Consider the following 20,399-nt stretch of genomic DNA (forward strand, 5'->3'; position numbering starts at 1 on the left):
CCAGAATCTACAAAGAACTTAAATTTACAAGAAAAAATCAAACAACCCCATCAAAAAGTGGGCAAAGAATATGAACAGACACTTCTCAAAAGAAGACATTTATGCAGCCAACAGACACATGAAAAAATGCTCATCATCTCTGGTCATCAGAGAAATGCAAATCAAAACCACAATGATATACCATCTCACACCAGTTAGAATGGCGATCATTAAAAAGTCAGGAAACAACAGGTGCTGGAGAGGATGTGGAGAAATAGGAAAGCTTGTACACTGTTGGTGGGACAGTAAACTAGTTCAACCATTGTAGAAGTCAGTGTGGCCATTCCTCAAGGATCTAGAACTAGAAATACCGCTTGACCCAGCCATCCCATTACTGGGCATATACCCAAAGGATTATAAATCATGTTGCTATAAAGACACATGCACACACATGTTTATTGCGGCACTATTGACAATAGCAAAGACTTGGAACCAACCCAAATGTCCATCAGTGATAGACTGGATTAAGAAAATGTGGCAGGGGGGCGGGGAGAGGCGGGGGAGGCCCCCTCATAGGCAAAGGATTGGGGGGCCGGGTGCGGCCGTGCAGCTCTCGGCAGAGCCGAGCCCAGACGAGGTCCGCCGCTGCCCCGTGCCTCTGCGCCTCCGTGCCTCCGCGCCTCCGCGCCTCCGCGCCTCCGTGCCTCCGCGCCTCCGCGCCACCTCAACTCCCTGGAGGCGGTGAAATGCAAGATCCAGGCCCCTGCAGTAGCAGGCGGACGAGGCGGAAGACCGCGCAGGGCCTGCAGCGGGAGCTGGACGGCAAGCGCGAGTGGCGCGAGAAAGCTGAAGGTGATGTGGCCACCCTCAACCGACGCATCCAGCTCGTTGAGGAGGAGTTGGACAGGGCTCAGGAACGACTGGCCACAGCCCTGCAGAAGCTGGAGGAGGCAGAAAAAGTTGCAGATGAGAGTGAAAGAGGAATGAAGGTGATAGAAAACCGGGCCATGAAGGATGAGGAGAAGATGGAGATTCAGGAGATGCAGCTCAAAGAGGCCAAGCACATTGCGGAAAAGGCTGACCGCAAATACGAGAAGGTAGCTCGTAAGCTGGTCATCCTGGAGGGTGAGCTGGAGAGGGCAGAGGAGCGTGCAGAGATGCGTGCGGAGGTGTCCGAACTAAAATGTGGTGACGTGGCAAAGAACTCAAGAATGTTACTAACAATCTGAAATCGCTGGAAGCTGCATCTGAAAAGTATTCTGAAAAGGAGGACAAATATGAAGAAGAAATTAAACTTCTGTCTGACAAAGTGAAAGAGGCTGAGACCCGTGCTGAATTTGCAGAGAGAACGGTTGCAAAACTGGAAAAGACAATTGATGACCTGGAAGAGAAACTTGCCCAGGCCAAAGAAGAGAACGTGGGCTTACATCAGACACTGGATCAGACACTAAACGAACTTAACTGTATATAAGCAAAACAGAAGAGTCTTGTTCCAACAGAAACTCCGGAGCTCCGTCGGTCTTTCTCTTCTCTTTTAAGAAGTTCCTTTTGTTATTGCCATCTTAGCTTTGCTGGAAATGTCAAGCAAATTATGAATACATGACCAAATATTTTGTATCGAAGAAGCTTTGAGCACCAGTTAAATCTCATTCCTTCCCCTTTTTTTTTCAAATGGCACCAGCTTTTTTAGCTCTCTTATTTTTTCCTTAAGTTGCATTTATTCCTAAGGTAGGCAGGATATTTCCTAGTTAAGCATACTTTCTTAAGACGGAGGCCATTTGGTTCCTGGGAGAATAGGCAGCCCCACACTTTGAAGAACACAGACCCCAGTATCTAGTCGTGGATATAATTAAAACACTAAAGACCATAACCTTTTGGGTCAACTGTTGGTCAAACTATAGGAGAGACCAGGGACCATCACATGGGTAGGGATTTTCCATCCAGAGCCAATAAAAGGGCTGGTAGGGGCCAGGGTGGCTATTGTGGGAAGTCATAACCCACAGATAGATTAACTTAAGAATCCTGGCCCTTCTCCACACTCCACCATGCAGAACAAACATCCTCTCAAGCAGTCAACGTACAACGCTTGGGAAATAGTCATAATTACCCACATATAGTAATTAATAGATGGTAAGTAATAGATCCTTGATGTGATGTTCTTTTGCATATTTCCCTGGCCGGCTTTCACCGGTGGCTTTCGTCTGTAAGGAAAGGTGGCTTTTGCCTGTAATCCCAACACTTTGGGAGGCCAGGACAGATCACTTGAGGTCAGGAGTTCGAGACCAGCCCAGCCAACATGGCGAAACCATGTCTGTACTAAAAATACAAAAATTATGGTGACTCCTGCCTGTAGTCCCAGCTACTCAGGAGGCTGAGGCAGAAGGATCGCTTGAACCCAGGAAGTGGAGATTGCAGTGAGCCGAGATCGCACCACTGCACTCCAGCCTGGTCGACAGAGTGAAACTCCATCTCAAGAAAAAATAAAAATAAAGTTGTTCTCTGAAGAGCAAATGTCTCATTCCAATAATGACCCACTCAGCAGGAATATGGTAGAGTTCAGTCCAATTCAGATCAGCCATATCCAGAAGACTACAAGGCATTACTAAGTTGAGCAAAAGAGTTTTTATCTACTAGCGGAAAGGGCCTCTCTGGCAGCAGAGATTAAATATTGGCCCAACTTCATTTCCATACTTTAGGGAACAGCAAATTGAAGATTTACTTATCTAGGACTTGAATTCCTTCTTTGGGACCAAGTTAATAAAAGACCAAGAAACTCCTGATTAAACTGGATGATGAGGGATTCTGCAGACAGGGCTGCACGTATGGGCTTTGTTTGACTTCTCTTTTCTCAGTTAACATCTCAGAGCTGGAACATTCCACATTCCCCAGCAGCGTGTGGGGGCCGACTAAAGTTTACAATTCTGACTAAAAATCACCCTGCTTCTGGCTTATCTGAATCCCTTACCCACCCCACCCCACCACCCCACTCCTATTTATTCAGCACCGCACTACCCAGGAAATACACTAGCAAATTGTGAATGGAATAAAATCCACACTTTACTTTAGATTCTTGCAACTGTATCATATGTAATAGTATCACTTTTTCTACATTTTGGTCAAATAAATTTTTACATAAACTACAAAAAAAAAAAAGAAAATATGGCACATATACACCATGGAATACTATGCGGCTCTAAAAAAGGAATGAGTTCATGTCCTTTATAGGGACATGGATGAAGCTGGAAACCATCCTTCTGAGCAAACTATTGCAAGGACAGAAAACCAAACACTGCATGTTCTCACTCATAGGTGGGAATTGAACAATAACAACATATGGACACAGGGTGGGGAACATCACACACCAGGACCTGCCAGAGGGTGGGGGAAAGGGGGAGGGATACCATTAGGAGACATACCTAATGTAAATGACGAGTTAACGGGTGCAGCACACCAACATAGCACATGTATACATATGTAACAAACCTGCACATTGTGCACGTGTACCCTAGAACTTAAGGTAAAATAAAAAAATAAAAAATAAAAAGACTTATTCAAGGCTGGGAAGAAAAAAAGGTTTAATTGGACTTACAGTTCCACATGGCTGAGGATGCCTCCGAATCATGGCAGGAGGCAAAAGGCACTTCTTACATGGTGGTGGCAAGAGAAAATGAGGAAGAAGCAAAAGCAGAAACCCCTGATAAACCCATCAGATCTCTTGAGACTTATTCACTATCATGAGAATAGCACAGGAAAGACTGGCCCCCATGATTCAATTACGTACCCCTGGGTCCCTGCCATGACATGTATGAATTCTGTGAAATACAATTCAAGTTCAGATTTTGGTGGGGACACAGTCAAACTATATCATTCTGCTCCTGGCCCCTCCAGATCTCATGTCCTCATGTTTCAAAACCAGTCACTCCTTCCCAACAGTCCCCCAAAGTCTTAACTCATTTCAGCATTAACCCAGAAGTCCACCATCCAAAGTCTCATCTGAGAAAAGGCAAGTCCCTTCCGCCTATGAGCCTGCAAAACCAAAAGCAAGCTAGTTACTTCCTAGATACAATGGAGGTACAGGTATTGGGTACCATTTCAAATGAGAGAAATTGACCAAAACAAACAGATTACAGGGCCCATGCAAGTCCAAAATCCAGCGGGGCAGTCAAACTTTAAAGTTCCAAAATGGTGTCCTTCGACGCCAGGTCTCACATCCAGATTACACTGATGCAAGAGATGGGTTTCTATAGTCTTGGTCAGCTCCATCCTTGTGGCTTTGGAGGGTACAGCCTCCTTTCTGGCTGCTTTCATGGTCTGGTGTTGAGGCTTTTCTAGATGCACGGTGCAAGCTTTTGGTGGATCTACCATTCTGCGGTCTGGAGGACAGTCACCCTCTTCTCACAGCTCCACTAGGCAGCAACGCACTAGGGACTCTGTGTGGGGGCTCTGACCCCACATTTCTCTTCTGCGTTGCCCTGGCAGAGGTTCTCCGTGAGGGCCCTGCTCCTGCAGCAATCTTTTGCCTGGGCATCCAGGTGTTTCCATACATCTTCTGAAATCTAGGTGGAGGTTCCCAAACCTCAATTCTTGACTTCTGTGCACCGGAAGGCTCAACACCACATGGAAGCTGCCAAGGCTAGGGGCTTCCACCTTCTGAAGCCACAGCCTGAGCTGTATGTTGGCCCCTTTCAGCCACAGCTGGAGTGGCTGGGATACAGGGCACCAAGTGCCTAGGCTGTACATAGCACGGGGACCCTGGGCCCAGGCCACAAAACCACATTTTCCTCCTGGGCCTCTGAGCCTGTGATAGGAGGGACTTCCATGAAGGTCTCTGACATGGCCTGGAGACATTTTGCCTGTGGTCTTGGGGATTAACATAAGGTTCCTTGCTACTTATGCAAATTTCTGTAGCTGGCTTGAATTTCTCCCCAGAAAATGGGTTTTTCTTTTTTATCACATAGTTAGGCTGCAAATTTTCTGAACTTTTATGCTGTGTTTCCCTTTTAAAACTGAATGTTTTAAACAGTACCCAAGCCACCTTTTGTATGCTTTGCTGCTTAGAAATTTCTTCCAAAAGATACCCTAAATGGGTCAGGTGTGGTGGCTCAAGCGTGTAATCCCAGCACTTTGGGAGGCCAAGGCAGGTGGATCACGAGGTCAGGCGATCGAGACCATCCTGGCTAACACGGTGAAACCCCATCTCTAATAAAAATACAAAAAATTAGCTGGGTGTGGTGGTGGATACCTGTAGTCCCAGTCACTCGGGAGGCTGAGGCAGGAGAATGGCGTGAACCTGGGAGGCGGAGCTTGCAGTGAGCCAAGATTGCGCCACTGCACCACTCCAGCCTGGGTGACAGAGTGAGACTCCATCTTAAAAAAAAAAAATACCCTAAATCATCTCTCTCAAGTTCAAAGTTCCACGAATCTCTAGGTCAGGTAAAAAATGCCACCAGTCTCTGCTAAAACATAACAAGAGTCACCTTTGCTCCAGTTCCCAGTTCCCAACAAGTTCCTCATCTCCATCTGAGACCACCTCAGCCTGGACCTTATTGTCCATATCGCTATCAGTATTTTGGGCAAAGCCATTCAACAAGTCTCCAGGAAGTTCCAAACTTTCCTACATTTTCCTGTCTTCTTCTGAGCCCTCCAAACTGTTCCAACCTCTGCCTGTTACCCAGTTCCAAAGTCACTTCCACATTTTGGGGTATCTTTTCAGCAACGCCCCACTCTACTGGTACCAATTTACTGTATTAGTTCATTTTCACACTGCTGATAAAGACATATCCAAAACTGGAAAGAAAAAGAATTTTAATTGGGCTTACAGTTCCACATGGCTGGGGAAGGTCTCACAATCATGGCAGAGGGCAAAAGGCATTTCTTACATGGCGGTGGCAAAAGAGAATGAGGAAGAAGCAAAAGTGGAAACCCCTGATAAAACCATCAGATCTTGTGAGACTTATTCACTATTAAAAGAATAGCATGGGAAAGACAGGCTCCCATGATTCAATTACCTCTCCCTGGATCTCTCCCACAACATGTGGGAATTCTGGGAGATACAATTCAAATTGAGATTTGGTGGGGACACAGCCAAACCATATCAGAGGCTGAATATAGGACCCTAATCCCTTCTAGCTTGTAGGGTTTCTGCCTAGAAATCTGTTAATCTGATAGGTTTTCCTTTATAGGTTACCTGATGCTTTTGCTTCACAGCTCTTAAGATTCTTTTCTTTGTCTTGACTTTAAATAACCTGTTGACTATGTGCCTAGATGATGATCTTTTTGCAGTAAATTTTCTGGGTATTCTTTGAGCTTCTGGTATTCAGAGTTCTAGATCTCTAGCAAGGCCAGGAAAGTTTTCCTTGATTATTCCCTCAAATATGTTTTCCAAACTTTTAGATTCATCTTCTTCCTGAGGAACACCAATTATTCTTATGCTTGCTTTTTAAATATCATCCCAAATTTCTTGGAGGCTTTTTTCATTTTTTAAAAAATTATTTTTTCTTTGTCTTTGTTGGATTGGGTTAATTCAAAAGCCTTGTCTTCAAGCTGTGAAGTTGTTTTTTGTTTGTTTGATTTCTACTTGCTTAGTCTATTGAAATTTTCCAGTGTATTTGGTATTTCTCTAAATGTCTTTCATTTCCAGAACTTGTGATTTTTTTTCTTTATGATATCTATTTCTGTGGAGATTTTTTCATTCATATAATGTATTTTGTTTAAGTTGATGTTCACCTTTGTTTGGTACCTCCTTGAGTAACTTACTAACAATTATCAACCTTTGGAATTCTTTATCTGGCAATTCAGAGATTTCTTCTTGGTTTGTATCTATTGCTGGAGAGCTAGTGTGATCTTTTGGGGGTGCCATAGAACCTTGTTTTGTCATATTACCAGAATTACTTTTCTGGTTCCTTCTTATTTGGGTAGACTGTTTTGGCAGAGAGATCTGGGATTCAAGCGCTGCTGTTCAGATTCTTTTGTCCCTCAGGGTGATCTGTTGATGTGGTGCTCTCTCCCTTCCCCTAAGGATGGGGCTTCCTGAGAGCAGGACGTCAGAGATTGTTATTGCCTTTCTGGGTCTAGCTACCCAGAGAGACTACCAAGCTCTGGGCTGGTGCTGGAAAATGTCTGCAAAGAGTCCTGTGATGTGATCTATCTTCATGTCTCCCAGCTGTGGACAACAGCACCTTCTCCAGTGGAGGTGGCAGGGAAGTGTAGTGGATTCTGTGAGAGTCCTTGGCTATAGTTTTGTTTAATGTGCTGCTTTTCTCGAATGCTGGTTATGCTAACAGTGAAGTTGTCATGTGGACATATTCAGGACCTCTGGTTAGCTAGGATGTTGCAGGCAGCAGAAACAGCTGTTGTTTTCTCCTTCTTTGGAGCCGACTTGTTCTGTTATGAGTTGCTGTAATGGCTTGAGTTGGTTGGCCTCCAGCCAGGAGGTGGCACTTTCAAGAGAGCACCAGCTGTGGTGGTAGAAGGGGAATATAAGCTTGCCCTAAATTGGCCAGGATAAGTATTCAAGTTTCTCAGGTGATGGGCGGGGCCATAGAGCTTCCAAGAGATTATCCCTTTTGTATCCCTTCAGCTACCAGGATGGGTAGAGAAAAACCATCATGTGGGGACAGGGTTAGGTGGGTTTGAGCTGCCAGACTCTCCTCACTGGGGCTTGCAGAGGCCATTGTGGGAGACAGCAGGGTGGTTCTCAGGCCACTGGAGCTATGGTCCAAATGGTATTATGGCTACCTGTACTGTGTTGTTCAGGTGGCATGGCAGGCAGGGCTGAGATCTTGCCCCAGGCTACAAGCTTCCCTGCTGAGAAAGCAAGCAGGGCTTTACGGCAACCTCTGCATTTGTATCTGCACTTCCTGTTTGCCCCTCACCTCCTTAGATTCAGCTCAGAAAAATTTATGGGATCTTTTTCTCCTGTAGATATTTGTATGGCTTACTCTATATCTTCAGGCACCAACTCAAATGTCATCTATCGTGAAGTCTTTCCTGATTATTATACAGAACATAATCACATGCTCACACACAGCATTCTCTATCCTCCTATCCTGCTATAATTTTATCCATAGCATATAACATCAGATGTGTATTTATTACCTAAGGCTCCTAGTAACACAGAAGCACTAAGAAACCAGTGACTTAACTTGATCCATTCATTTTCCACCCCTTTGGTGCCTAGAAGACTGGCTGGGATACAGAGGTATGTAAAAAGTATCTGTTAAATGAATAGTTATTGAATGTCTAAAGAAATAAATGACCAAATTGGGTACATGAATGATGTATGTGAAAGCAAAAAAAAATCACAGACTATACAACAGGTTGTACCCTGTCACCAAAGAATGAATGACAAAACTTGATCATTCCTGCTGAGAATTTGGTCCCTCACTCCTACTCTGGGTCCTTTATTTTGTTTCAGTCATTATTGTTCTTCTATATAGGTACTGTTGGAAATATGTGTTCCTTTTCAGAACCCTTGTTACTTGTCATAAAGTGCCTTGAAAGATCAATTTGCTGAAAGTTAAATTTTTAAAAATTTATTGAAAACAATGCATTTCCTCCACCAATTTTCTTACCTTTCAGTACTCATAGTTCATTTCTATCTGCCTGTTCATTTTCTTAATAGAGAATCCATGTATTCATTTATTTGAGAAATATTATTGATAATCTATTATGTGCCAGGCAATGTTCAGTGAATGTATTCTCTTTAAGTTTAATGCTTTGTACCTTTTTCCCTGGCAACCATGTTCTCTGTATGGGATCGATGTTTCCCTGAAACGTTAGTACTTTCTACATACTCTATTGATGGAAGGCACTTTCAGCAGGAGAAAAAAATCATTTTCAGCCCAGAGTGTAAGACGAAAATAGATGCCCCACTTTTTAGAAACATTAACAGCCTGACATTTCCTGTGTACACCGTTAAGTAAACTCCTAAAAACATCAAGTGATGTACATTACTGTTTCTTCATATTCAAGAAGACATCAGTTATAATATCATTAGTTCTGTTTAATAACAAATAGAAAATTATTAAATAAGCCAAATATTAGGAATGATTGGTGTGGAAATAATGAGAATTAAGAACTGGAGAAAATATTATTTATGTGGAAGTAAATGTGGAAAAAATACAAAAATAAAAACCGGGAGTTTTTTCATAATGGCTCTTGGTCATCTTTCAGATGCCTTTTAGATCATCTGAGTTCTGTTTTTCCTAGAGAGATAGCCTTTAGGTTACCAAGCTACCACTGGTTTCCTGATGCTGTAAAACTTAACTGTGCCTACTAAGCAACTTCTGAAGATAAAGAGAAATTTTCCCTTAGGGGATTAAACAGGGACTATATTAAGTTACAACAGATATTTAACTCCACCAATTGGTTGGTTGGTTGTTAACTAATACATTACAATTAATTTAACTTTATATGATCAAGATGTTGAATTGCAAGCCTCTCTGTTAGCCTCCTGCAGCAATAAAAGCTTTTCCTTCTGTTGTCCATATGCTGGAATTCAGGCTTAAGTGTGTGGATATGTTATTGGATGCCGGAGTGGTTCTTTATATCCTGAACTCACAAGGCCAGCTATGGATGTTTATTCTCTCCTACCTAATTCTGGGCAAATTTTGCTTCCTTCTCCAAGTATAAATGGATTGCACAATTTATTGCATTGTTTATAAACAAGAACATGAGAATACACACTACATTTCAATTTATGATGCTTCCTTCATTATAACATTACTTACTGTAGATCTGTTAGACAGAAATAATATTTAGCTCTTTAATGATCTGGAATGTGTGTTGGTATAGAATGTATAACTATCCTGCTCCTGTTGTGCCCCTCACTCATACTGTATTGCCACTATCCTCATATCTTCAACTCTTAGGAATAATATTCCAAGTTCTACTTCAATACATTTTATTGTTATACTTAGAAATAAAGTTGTCTACTTTACTTTTCTGGATTATATTTCTCCAGTTTTGATCTCCGGGTTCTACTAACTTTATAACATCAATGGAGGAGATTTCTTTATTCTTCTAAATCCTGCAAATGTTTACATAGTACAGAAATCTTTGCCTTTAAAAAATAAGTTCATCACCAGTCTGACAAGAGACTTGTCTGAATGAAATTATTTTGTACACATTTTCTCTATTTCTTCTGTATTTATCAGTTAATTTAGGCTTCCAACCATTCTTGAGTTAGCTTTTTTCTTCATTTTTAATTTTTTTTTAAATTTTTCCTTAAGTTATTGGGGTACAAGTGGTATTTGGTTACGTGAGTAAGTTCTTTAGTGGTGATTTGTGAGATTTTGGTGCACCCATCACCTGAGTAGTATACACTGTACCATATTTGTAGTCTTCTATCCTCGCCCTCCTCCCACTCTTCCCCTCGAGTCCCCAAAGTCCATTGCATGATTCTTATGCCTTTGTGTCTTCATAGCTTAGCTCCCACATATCAGTGAGAACATACGATGTTTAGTTTTCCATTCCTGAGTTACTTCACTTAGAATAATAGTCTCCAATCTCATCCAGGTCACTGCAAATGTTAATTCATTCTTTTTTATGGCTGAGTAGAATCCCATCGACTGTATCTTTCCTTCATATATGATGCTTAGTTTCACTGGATTCAAAATTCTTGGCTAATAATTGTTTTGTTTGAGGAGGCGGAAGATTTGCCTGGTGCTTCTGTCTTACAGCTCTTAAGATTCTTTCTTTTGTCTTAACTTTGGAACTTTGGATAACCTGATGACAGTGTGCCTGGGTGAAGATCTTTTTGCGATGAACTTCCTGGGTATTCTTTGTGCTTCTTGTATTTAGAATGTCTAGGTCTCTAGCAAGGCCAGGGAAGTTTTCCTTGATTATTTCCCCAAATATCTTTTCCAAGCTTTTAGAATTCTCTTCTTCCTTGGGAACACTGATTATTCTAAAGTTTGGTCGTTTACCATAATCCCAGACTTCTTGGAGGCTTTGTTCATATTTTCTTATTCTTCTTTCTTTGTCTTTGTTGGATTGGGTTAATTCAAAGACCTTGTCTTCAAGATCTGAATTTCTTTCTTCTGCTTGTTCAATTCTATTGCTAAGACTTTTCAGAGTATTTTGCATTTCTAAAAGTGTATCCAAAGTTTCCTGAATTTTTTATTGTTTTTTCTTTGGGGTATCTATTTCTTTGAATGTTTCTCCCTTCACTTCTTGTATCATATTTTGGATTTCCTTGCATTGGGCTTCACCTTTATTGAGTGCTTCCCTGATTAGCTTAATAACTAACCTCCTGAATTCTTTTTCAGGTAAATCAGGGATTTCTTCTTGGTTTGGGTCCATTGCTAGTGAACTAGTGTAATTTTTTGGGGGGTGTTGAAGAGCCTTGTTTTGTCATATTACCAGGGTTGGTTTTCTGGTTCCTTCTCATTTGGGTAGGCTCTTTCAGAGGGAAGGTCTAGGGCTGAAGGCTGCTTTTCAGATTTCTTTGTTTCACAGAATATTCCCTTGATGTAGTACTCTCCCCCTTTTCCTATGAATGTGGCTTCCTGTCAGTTGAACTGCAGTGATTGTTTTCTCTCTTCTGCGTCTAGCCACCCAGTGAGTATATCCATCTCCGGGGGCGGGTAATGGGGGTTGTCTGCACAGAGTTTTGTGATGTGAACCATCTATAGGTCTCTGTTGTGGACAGAGACCATGCCTGTTCCGGTGGAGGTGGCAGGGGGCAGGGAGGTGCAATGGACTTTGTGAAAGTTCTTAGCTTTGGTGATTTAATGCTCTATTTTTGTGCTGGTTGGTCTCCTGCCAGGAGGTGGCACTTTCCAGAAAGCATCAACTGTAGTAATAAGGGGAGGAACTGCAGTGGGCGGGGCCCTAGAACTCCCAAGATTATATGCCCTTTGTCTTCCGCTAGCAGGTCAGGTAGGGAAGGACCATCAGGTAGGGATGGGGCTTGGCATGTCTGAGCTGAGACTCTCCTTGGGCAGGTCTTGCTGGGGCTGCTGTGGGGGGTGGAGGTGAGATTCACAGGTCACTGGAGTTGTGTACCTAGGAGTATTATGGCTGCCTCTGCTGAGACATGCAGGTTGTCAGGGAAGTGGGGGAAAGCCGGCAGTCACAGGCCTCACCCAGCTCCCACACAAACCGAAGGGTCGGTCTCACTCCCACTGTGTCCCCCTGCAACAGCCCCCAGACAGTTTCCAGGCGGAAAGCATAAGGGCTTGAAAACCTGCCCCAGGCTACCCACCTCCCAGCTGCCAAAGAAAGGGCTAGGTTCTTCCCCAGCCTGTGAAGTCTGCACACCAGATTTGCACCCTCCCCCGAGTTCTGGCCAGGAGGCTTCTCACCCCGTTCAAATTGTTACGGGGTTCAGCTGAGATTTCCTTCTCCCTGTGGAGTTTTACCACCTGCTCCTCCCCTGTTGGATCCCTATGGTGCCAGGCAGGCATGGGCTGCTCGGGGACCAGAGAGCTCCCAGGGCCTTCCTGCTGCTTCGTCTACCCCTGTATTTTGCTTGGCTCTACAAATTGACTCAGCTCCAGGTAAAGTCAGAAACTTCTCCCGCTAACAGACCTTCAGCTTCTCCAGTGGGGGTGTGTGTTCAGGAGAAGAGGGTCTCCCTTTCCCAATTCTGAAGTTGGGGCACTCACAGTTTTGCGGGGGGTCTCCTGGGTCGTGCAAGAGCAGTCCACTTCCTTCAGAGGGTCTGTGGGTCCTCTTGGGATTGCTCTTGAGTTAGCTTTATTAATTTATATTTTTCTTAAAATATTCTATTTCCTCAAGACTTTCAAATATATCACCATAGAATTATATGCACTGTAATTGCAAATTTTGTCTCTTTTATTAATCTCATTAAAATCTGCTCCTCAATTTTTATTGAGTATTTTTTTCCTTTTTCAAAGCATTGCCAGAAGGAGGATTTATCTGATTATTTTTTAATAAACAAGTTCCTGAATATATCTGTATTACTTTTCTATCATTGCTGTAACAAATTGCCACAAACTTGGTGGCTTAAAGCAACACAAATGTATCATTCTCTGTGAGTAAGCAATGTGACAGGAGTCTCACTATACTAAAATCAAGGCATCATAGGTCTTCACTCCTCTCTGTGGGCTCTAAGTGATGTTCCATTTCCTTGCTTTTTCTGGGTTCTAGAGTTCACCCCCATTCCTTGGTTCATAGGCCCCTCCTCCGCCTTTGAAATCAGCAAAAGGCGAGTACTTTTCACATCACGTCACTCTGACCTTCTGCAGTCACAACTGTCCCTGACTGTCCCCACTTCCATCTCCCTTTTCCACTTTTAAGGACCTTTGTGATTTCACTGGGCTCATCCAGACTAAACAGAATAATGTCTCTATTTTAAAGTCAGCTAATTAGTAACTTTAATTCTCCCTGCAACCTTAATTCTTCTTTGCAGTGTAAACTAACATGTTCACAAGTTTGGGGGTTAGAATACGAATATCTTGGGTGGGGGCATTATTCTGCCTACCAAAATATAAAGTAAACTTTTGATGTTTTATAATCATTTTCCTACCTTTCTTTTTATTGTTTCTTCCTGCTTCCTTACTGTAATTTTATTGCCATTTTTAAAGTTTCAGTTATGTGTTTAGCTTATTTATTTTTACTTTCTAACAAAAGATTTTAAATCATAGAATTTTTATTTCAGTACAGCTTTAGTTGTATCCCTGAGGATTTAATAATCATATCTAGAGAGTTTCTAAATATTAGAAATGATTGGTTTAAATTTACATGTGCCTGCATTCTCTTTAAATAAACTTTTATTATTTACTTCTATTTTTATTGGAAATTGGTTCAATTTTTCTTTAGAGGTTTTCTTTGTCACATATAATGGGGGCCTATTTTTAAGAACATTCCACCCAAATTTGGAATGAATAGCTAGTTTCTACTTACATTTTGTAGACAAAATGTTTCTTATTAATAACAATAATGACAATACCATTTTAAGTGTTTACTTGGTACTACACTATGTCATTATAAATATTATCTCAATTGATCTTCATAGTGACTATGAGTAGGTATTATTATCCTCAATTTACACAAGGAGAAACAAAGCCACATCACTGGTAGATGAGAAAAGCAACACTTTATTGTTATATTGGTTATTCAATGTTAAGGAAACACATAATTGTAATGCTTTACACGTTTACTTTTTTTCTACTTTTATTTTAAGTTCAGGGAGTACATGTGCAGGTTTGTTACATGGGTAATTGTGTGTCACTGACCCTTCTTTTTTTAAGTCTGCTTTAATTCTTTAAACCTGAGGGCCGAGTGAGGTAGTAAAATTTCTCACAACTCTGTTTCTATTGATTCCTTCGGTCTTAGTTTCTGTTTAATGTAGTTTGATGTTAGTTTGGTCACCACATGCTATCTCATGAGCATTTATCTTCACTTGTAAACTGTATTTTTTTTAGTTGAAAATGACTCTCTTTGCATATACTACCACTTCTACTTTGCCTGTGTTTAATATTGCACTCATATTTCCCTCACCCTCCTTTGTTTCTTTATTTCTTTTGCCTAACGTATCTGCCCATTCATTTTTAACATTTTGCATCACTTTTGGTTAGATGTGCAGGGTGAGCATAATGTTTTTAGTTGGATTTTGTTTACTAACTCAATCTCAGTGTCTGTTTTAAACAGAGTTTTAAAGTAATTTGTGTTTTTCCATAACTGATTACTTCAGCCTCACTTTTATCAGCTGATTTTTTTTCCTTGTTTTCTATTTTCTGCTATGAGGAATATTGCAGAATATGTTGTCTTAGCTTTGGTCTTCTCTAGTGTTTAAAAAAGTATTTGGCCTCTTTTTAATACTAGTAGTGTTACCATTATCTTTCAAAGGCATCTTTAAGGTATAGTTCTTCAATTATCAAACTTTAAACCAAATACAGTAGCATTAGACTGTTCCTTATCTAAGTGGAGGATTTTATATACTTTCACTTAATGCCATATATCTCTATTCCACTTGCCTGCCAGTCTTATTTTAAAAATCTAGGTTTTAACTTAGATTATTGTTAATAAATTTCCTTTTTTGCATTTATATAAACTATTATGTAAAAAATACTGTAAAATTTGTGTCTACATTTTTACCATATGAACTACAATTATTTGGACTTTCCTTTTTTTTATATTAGTTTTACTGTGTACCAGAGTCAATTCTTGGTCAGTTCTCACCCAGTTTTGCAGATGGTACTCTATTTCCTTCCTCATTAATAACAATGTGGATTAATGTGAAAATATAGAAAGACCTCATTCAGGGCTTTCCTTTTTACCCTTTCCCCATCTTAGCAAAAGAAAGGAATTAACCTTCTAAGAAAACTAAAAGGAATTAAAAAAAGAGGTATCCCCAGAATTCCTAGGCTTGCAATTTCAACTGGATTTCAGTCACTACAGCCTCATTCTTGGATTCATTCCCAAAGGCACTTGCAGAAGTGTGAGCACTCCATGGGCCATGCCTTGGCTCTGTGGTTCCACTTTCCTGCTCTACTTCAAGGCCAGCATATACAATAAGGATCTCCTCTTCCCATCTCCATCCTCATCTCCTGGTTAGCTCTTACTCCTTCATCTCTAAGTCTCAAGTATCTCAAATATAATTTCCTCAGGAATACTTTCCTCACCTTCTAAATCAATCAGGTTCACCTACAGTTTGTGATTAGGTATTTATTTATCTAGTTATTTGTTCTGTATCTGTTCCACTGCGTTATAAGTTCCATACATACATGAAAGGCCTCCATTTTTCTGACTGCCAGATTCCTAGTCCCCGGTAGTACCTAGCACATGGTAGAGACTCAATAAATTCATTCCTTTTTTCAAGACAAGTTTTTGAACATGTACTGCATGTCATACACAAGTTTAGATGCTGGGCATGCGGAAGAGGTACCATGGAGCTTACATTCCAGTGGAGGGAGGCAGGAAATCAATGTAAGTTAGTGACACAGGCTTTAAAGAAAACAACATCGGGCAATGTCAGTGTCTAGAGAGCTGGGCGGCTACTGTCATTACAGTGTTCAGGAAAAGTGTAATTGAGGATGTGACATGAAAGATTAGATCAAACCAAAGAGAATAATGTAGCCACATGAAGATCAGGGAAAGAACTACCCAGGCAACAGGAAAAGTAAAAGAAAATGTCCTAACACCCAACTAAGCTTTGCTTTCCAAAGAGCAGAAAGGACAGGAAAGGTGGTCTATATGCATGGAGGATAAGAGGGGCAAAAGATAAGAATCAGAGTACAAAATGAGAATGAGCCTGGTGAGTCCAAGGAGAGAAAGAAGGGGAGTGGGGATGAACAGGGGCATAGTGATAAAGAAGGAGTGTGGTCGAGGATTAGCATCTCCTCCAGCATTGATTATTCTTCTAATAAGTTCTAGACCTTCTGTTGAGCTTTTTATCTACATTGTCTCATTTAATTCTCAACCAGAGGGATTATCGTTCAACTTAACAGATAAGGAACTTGAAATTTTAAGAGTTTAGCAATTCGCTAAAGATTCAACCAATCATATGTGGCGAAGACAAAGTTTGACCTTACCTCTGCTGGACCCCAGAGGTTGTGTGTTTAACCACTATCCCTTACAGAGTGGCACTCAGACAGACAGGGTTGTTCACAATAATTGGAGTAAAACACATTGTAAGAGAAGTACCATAAGATTTGAATTTGTCTTTGCCTCCTTAGACAAATGCTTTCATTTTGTCTTCACTTATTGGTTGTTCATCCTCTCTAACAATGCACTATACAAAAATGTGTATCTACAGTCCTTTCAGCTTCATTCAAACAAGACCAACTTATATGCAGCTGGTGAGTGAATGCCTCTAGCAGAAAGCTGCACATAGCACAACTCCTTAAGTGTAAGCTCAATCTCTAGTAACTCCATCTACTACTGCTGTATAAATCACTGTGTGCTATATATGTCCATATTATTCATTCCCAAACATGCACTAGTTAATGAGAATGCTAGTCCATGACCTTGTTTATCTTCTTAAGTTTTAGCAAGGGTGTAACTTAGTTTATAGGTTTTAGCAAAATCTTCTCAATCAATCAACATATGCAATCAGAAAACATGCAAAGGGATGACCAATGACCCAAATTGCCTTGTACTTTTTTCCGCTTCTTTTGTTTGGTTTTCTTTTTGTCGCCTTGGTGCTTCCTATTCTATACCATCAACACTATTTTCTCTGAGACTGGTTTGCCTTGTGGTGACTAAAGGAAGTGGGTAATTACATTGAGGAGTGACAAGAGAGAAGGTATCTCCACTCCCTCAGGCTTAAGTTGTGAAGCAATGTTATTTTCTTGTTCATGAAAAATATTCTAAGGAAATAAAGTTTACCACTTTTTATTTAAGTGAAAATAACCTTAGAGTTTAGTGTAATTGTTTATTATATTCTCAGCACTACCTTTTCCTAATTGTCCCAATGCATGTGTATTTTAAATATTGTTATTAAAAAGAAAAGACTAGATTTCTCAGCAAGGCCCATCACTTATTTTAAAATGAAACAGATTACTAATTTTGCTGCAAGCAAAGCAAATCAGTTAATTTGTCATGAAAAACTCCATCTCCTAGCCAAAAACATAAATCAGTCCAGTTTTTACTCTGTCTATGAAATATCACACAAACTAGTTTTGGCTTTGATGTAACCCCACGTATCAATCTGTAAGTTTTGTTCAGGGAGTATTGTTAATATTAATGAGTTTTTATCCATGATGTTGCTTCTCCCGAATCCCACCCAGCCTGGAAATGGCCCAAGAAAGATGGAGTGGTGGGACAGGGTGGACATGGAGCAAAACGGTTCTCATTAGGGATCTGAAGACACCCGCTTCTAAGTCATTCATGCTCCCAATTGCTTGTGTTACCACTTATTTTCCATGCCTGTCTTCCAGTTGCCATGTGTTCCCAATTAAAGTGGCATGTTTGCACTTTAGCTCCCAGTTGCCTGCTTGCCCTTCATTTTTAATAGCTTATATATTTCTCTCAGTATATCATTTTTTGGAAGAATTTAAAAGAAACTCTAGGCATGCTGTAATCGGTATTATTAGTTTCAGCAGACTGATTAGGTATGGAGACTGTATGACTCACATTTTTGATATGGTCCATGTATTTGATGGTACTTCATTGAAACACATCTTTCTGGCCATGATGACAGCATCGAGGGAGACAGAGCTCTGCTCCTGGCAACATATTCTGATCAACAATTCTACCATGACATGAAAATATAAAAGTAGAGCATGTGTGGTGTTTCCCAGTTATTTTAGCAACAGTAAAAATTCTTCTTAAAAATAATGTGGTTCTTATCTATAAGGTTATATTCTTATCTATAAGAACCTGAATGAAAAACTTAGACCGATATTATTTTTTTTCTCCAATAAAATGAAAGAGGTAAGTACTGGTCAAATCAGTATTTTGATGGTTTGAGTGATAGTGGGGACTCTGGAATCCAACTTCCTCAGCCTCTCACCTCAACTCTAGAACCCAGTGAAATAGAGACAAATATTGACTTTGCAGCCTTTCTGTGAGTAGTTCCATTTGAGAATACCAGATGGAACTGAAAGTGTCTCTTGTGCCCCTCTCCGCAACCATCATGAGTCTGGTGAATGACATCAACAACTTGCTCACCCATATCACTTTGATGCATTCATGGAGATCACACCAAAGTGGGAGTTTCCATTTCTTTACCTGGACTCTACTTGGAGTTAGTACTCAGAAGCAGTGGATTCAAAGCAGAAAATTAAAGACAGAAAATAAAACCACTTAACACTCCAACACAGGAAAGTCACAGCTGCCCCTTTTTCTCTGGGCTGTCTTCTCCAACTCTTCCCTGACTGCTCCCAGAAAGTGCCCCTTGCAATTACCAGTGGGGTCTAATAAGCCATGCTAACAAATTGGCAAGTGTTAAAAACTACTAACAAGTAATAGGGGTCTTCCTTACATAAATACTTAGAATTGAAGAGGAATTTGAAATTTTTGAAAAGACAGAGGGCAGAAGTCTGAAGCAGTTTATGTCAGGAATAGCTGTCACAGTCTCTTTACCAAGATCTTTAGAACCTGTCCCATCAATAGAAGTCCATAAAAGTTATGTGGGTTAATGAAAAAAAAACTTTGCCTAGGGTTGGTCTTCTGAAATGTGCACAGATAGTAAGTCATCAGGAATGTCCTGTTCAGTTGTGAGAGGCAGCAATGCATGTGTAAGCAAGTAAAAACAGACGCTCGCCCAGCCCTCAGGGAATTTTAGATTTCCCTCAGTACATTTGTAAGACGGGTTCAATGTAATTTTCCCATAACATGAATATACGGGAAGTGATCTTTCCAAGAACACACAGTGAGACAGTAGACAAGAAGTCTAAGAACTAGACCAGATGTCACAAACTGTGAAGTCTATTCTCAACCCTTTCACTAACTCACTGATGTGGTTTAGATTAATTCACTCAATTTCTAATCCTTTTATTAAAAACAATGCTTCCTGTTTATTTTTAGAATCATCCATTCAAAAGCTTTAGTTCTTTTTCATTTCCATTGTAAGTTATACCAAAATAAGAGTTAGAACTTCATATCAAACTATCATGACATCCACTTAACACAGAGGGAAGAAAATAATCAAATTGAGGTTAATATTGTATCAGATCAAATGCCAGCACAGAGCACAGGCAGTGAACACACTCTCTCCTGCCTCATTTTTAGGGGCACAAACTGGGACATAATGACATTAGCCTTTGTGGTTTCACCCATCAAGGGACAACTATCAGTGGTATGTATCCACGTGAGTCAGGGCCATGTTCAGACTTGTGCTTAACAGATAAGTTTGCTAGTGGCCTTGAGTCTACAGCAGTCTAAGTCTGGATACAGATCTCTAAAAACCATGAACTATGAAGAAACTAGAATGCATTGGGTTTAGATACTTACAGTGAAGGTAGATTTTGATATATTCGCTTTCAGCTGACTTTTAATGTAATGATAAGTCAAGGAAAGCATTGTCAACCTTAGATGAATTCCTATTCTAGGAGGTGCTGGGTTGACAAAGGGAAGGAATCTTAGTACCCCTGAGAACTCTTCATTATGATTTCCCCAGTCATTGACCTTGGCATTAGGAGGTCTTTTAATAATGTTGATGCTTAGCTTGACTAGGCCATGCCAAGAGTATGATGGGGACTGGATATTCCAGGCTGAACCAGTAAGAGCTATCCTGAGAGCAGAGTAACTTAGCCCTAAGATTAATCCAGAGCTAAATTTAAAAGCAATGAGCTCTAAGACATGGTAGTAAGTAAGAAACGAAGGCTATAAATACAGAAAAACTAATTTTTTCTTTTTTTTTGAGACAGAGTCTCGCACTGTCGCGCAGGCTGGCATGCAGTGGCGCCATCTTGGCTCACTGCAAGCTCCGCCTCCTGGGTTCACGCCATTCTCCCGCCTCAGCCTCCCGAGTAGATGGGACTACAGGCACCTACCACCATGCCCGG

At 40.8% G+C, this 20,399-nt stretch overlaps 1 pseudogene; it reads left to right on the plus strand.

The window, feature by feature from the left end:
• TPM4P3 (TPM4 pseudogene 3) lies at positions 554-2,711 on the plus strand (annotated as a pseudogene).

This window comes from Homo sapiens, chromosome 8 (genome assembly GCF_000001405.40).
Source record: "Homo sapiens chromosome 8, GRCh38.p14 Primary Assembly".
Taxonomy (NCBI): Eukaryota; Metazoa; Chordata; class Mammalia; order Primates; family Hominidae; genus Homo; species Homo sapiens.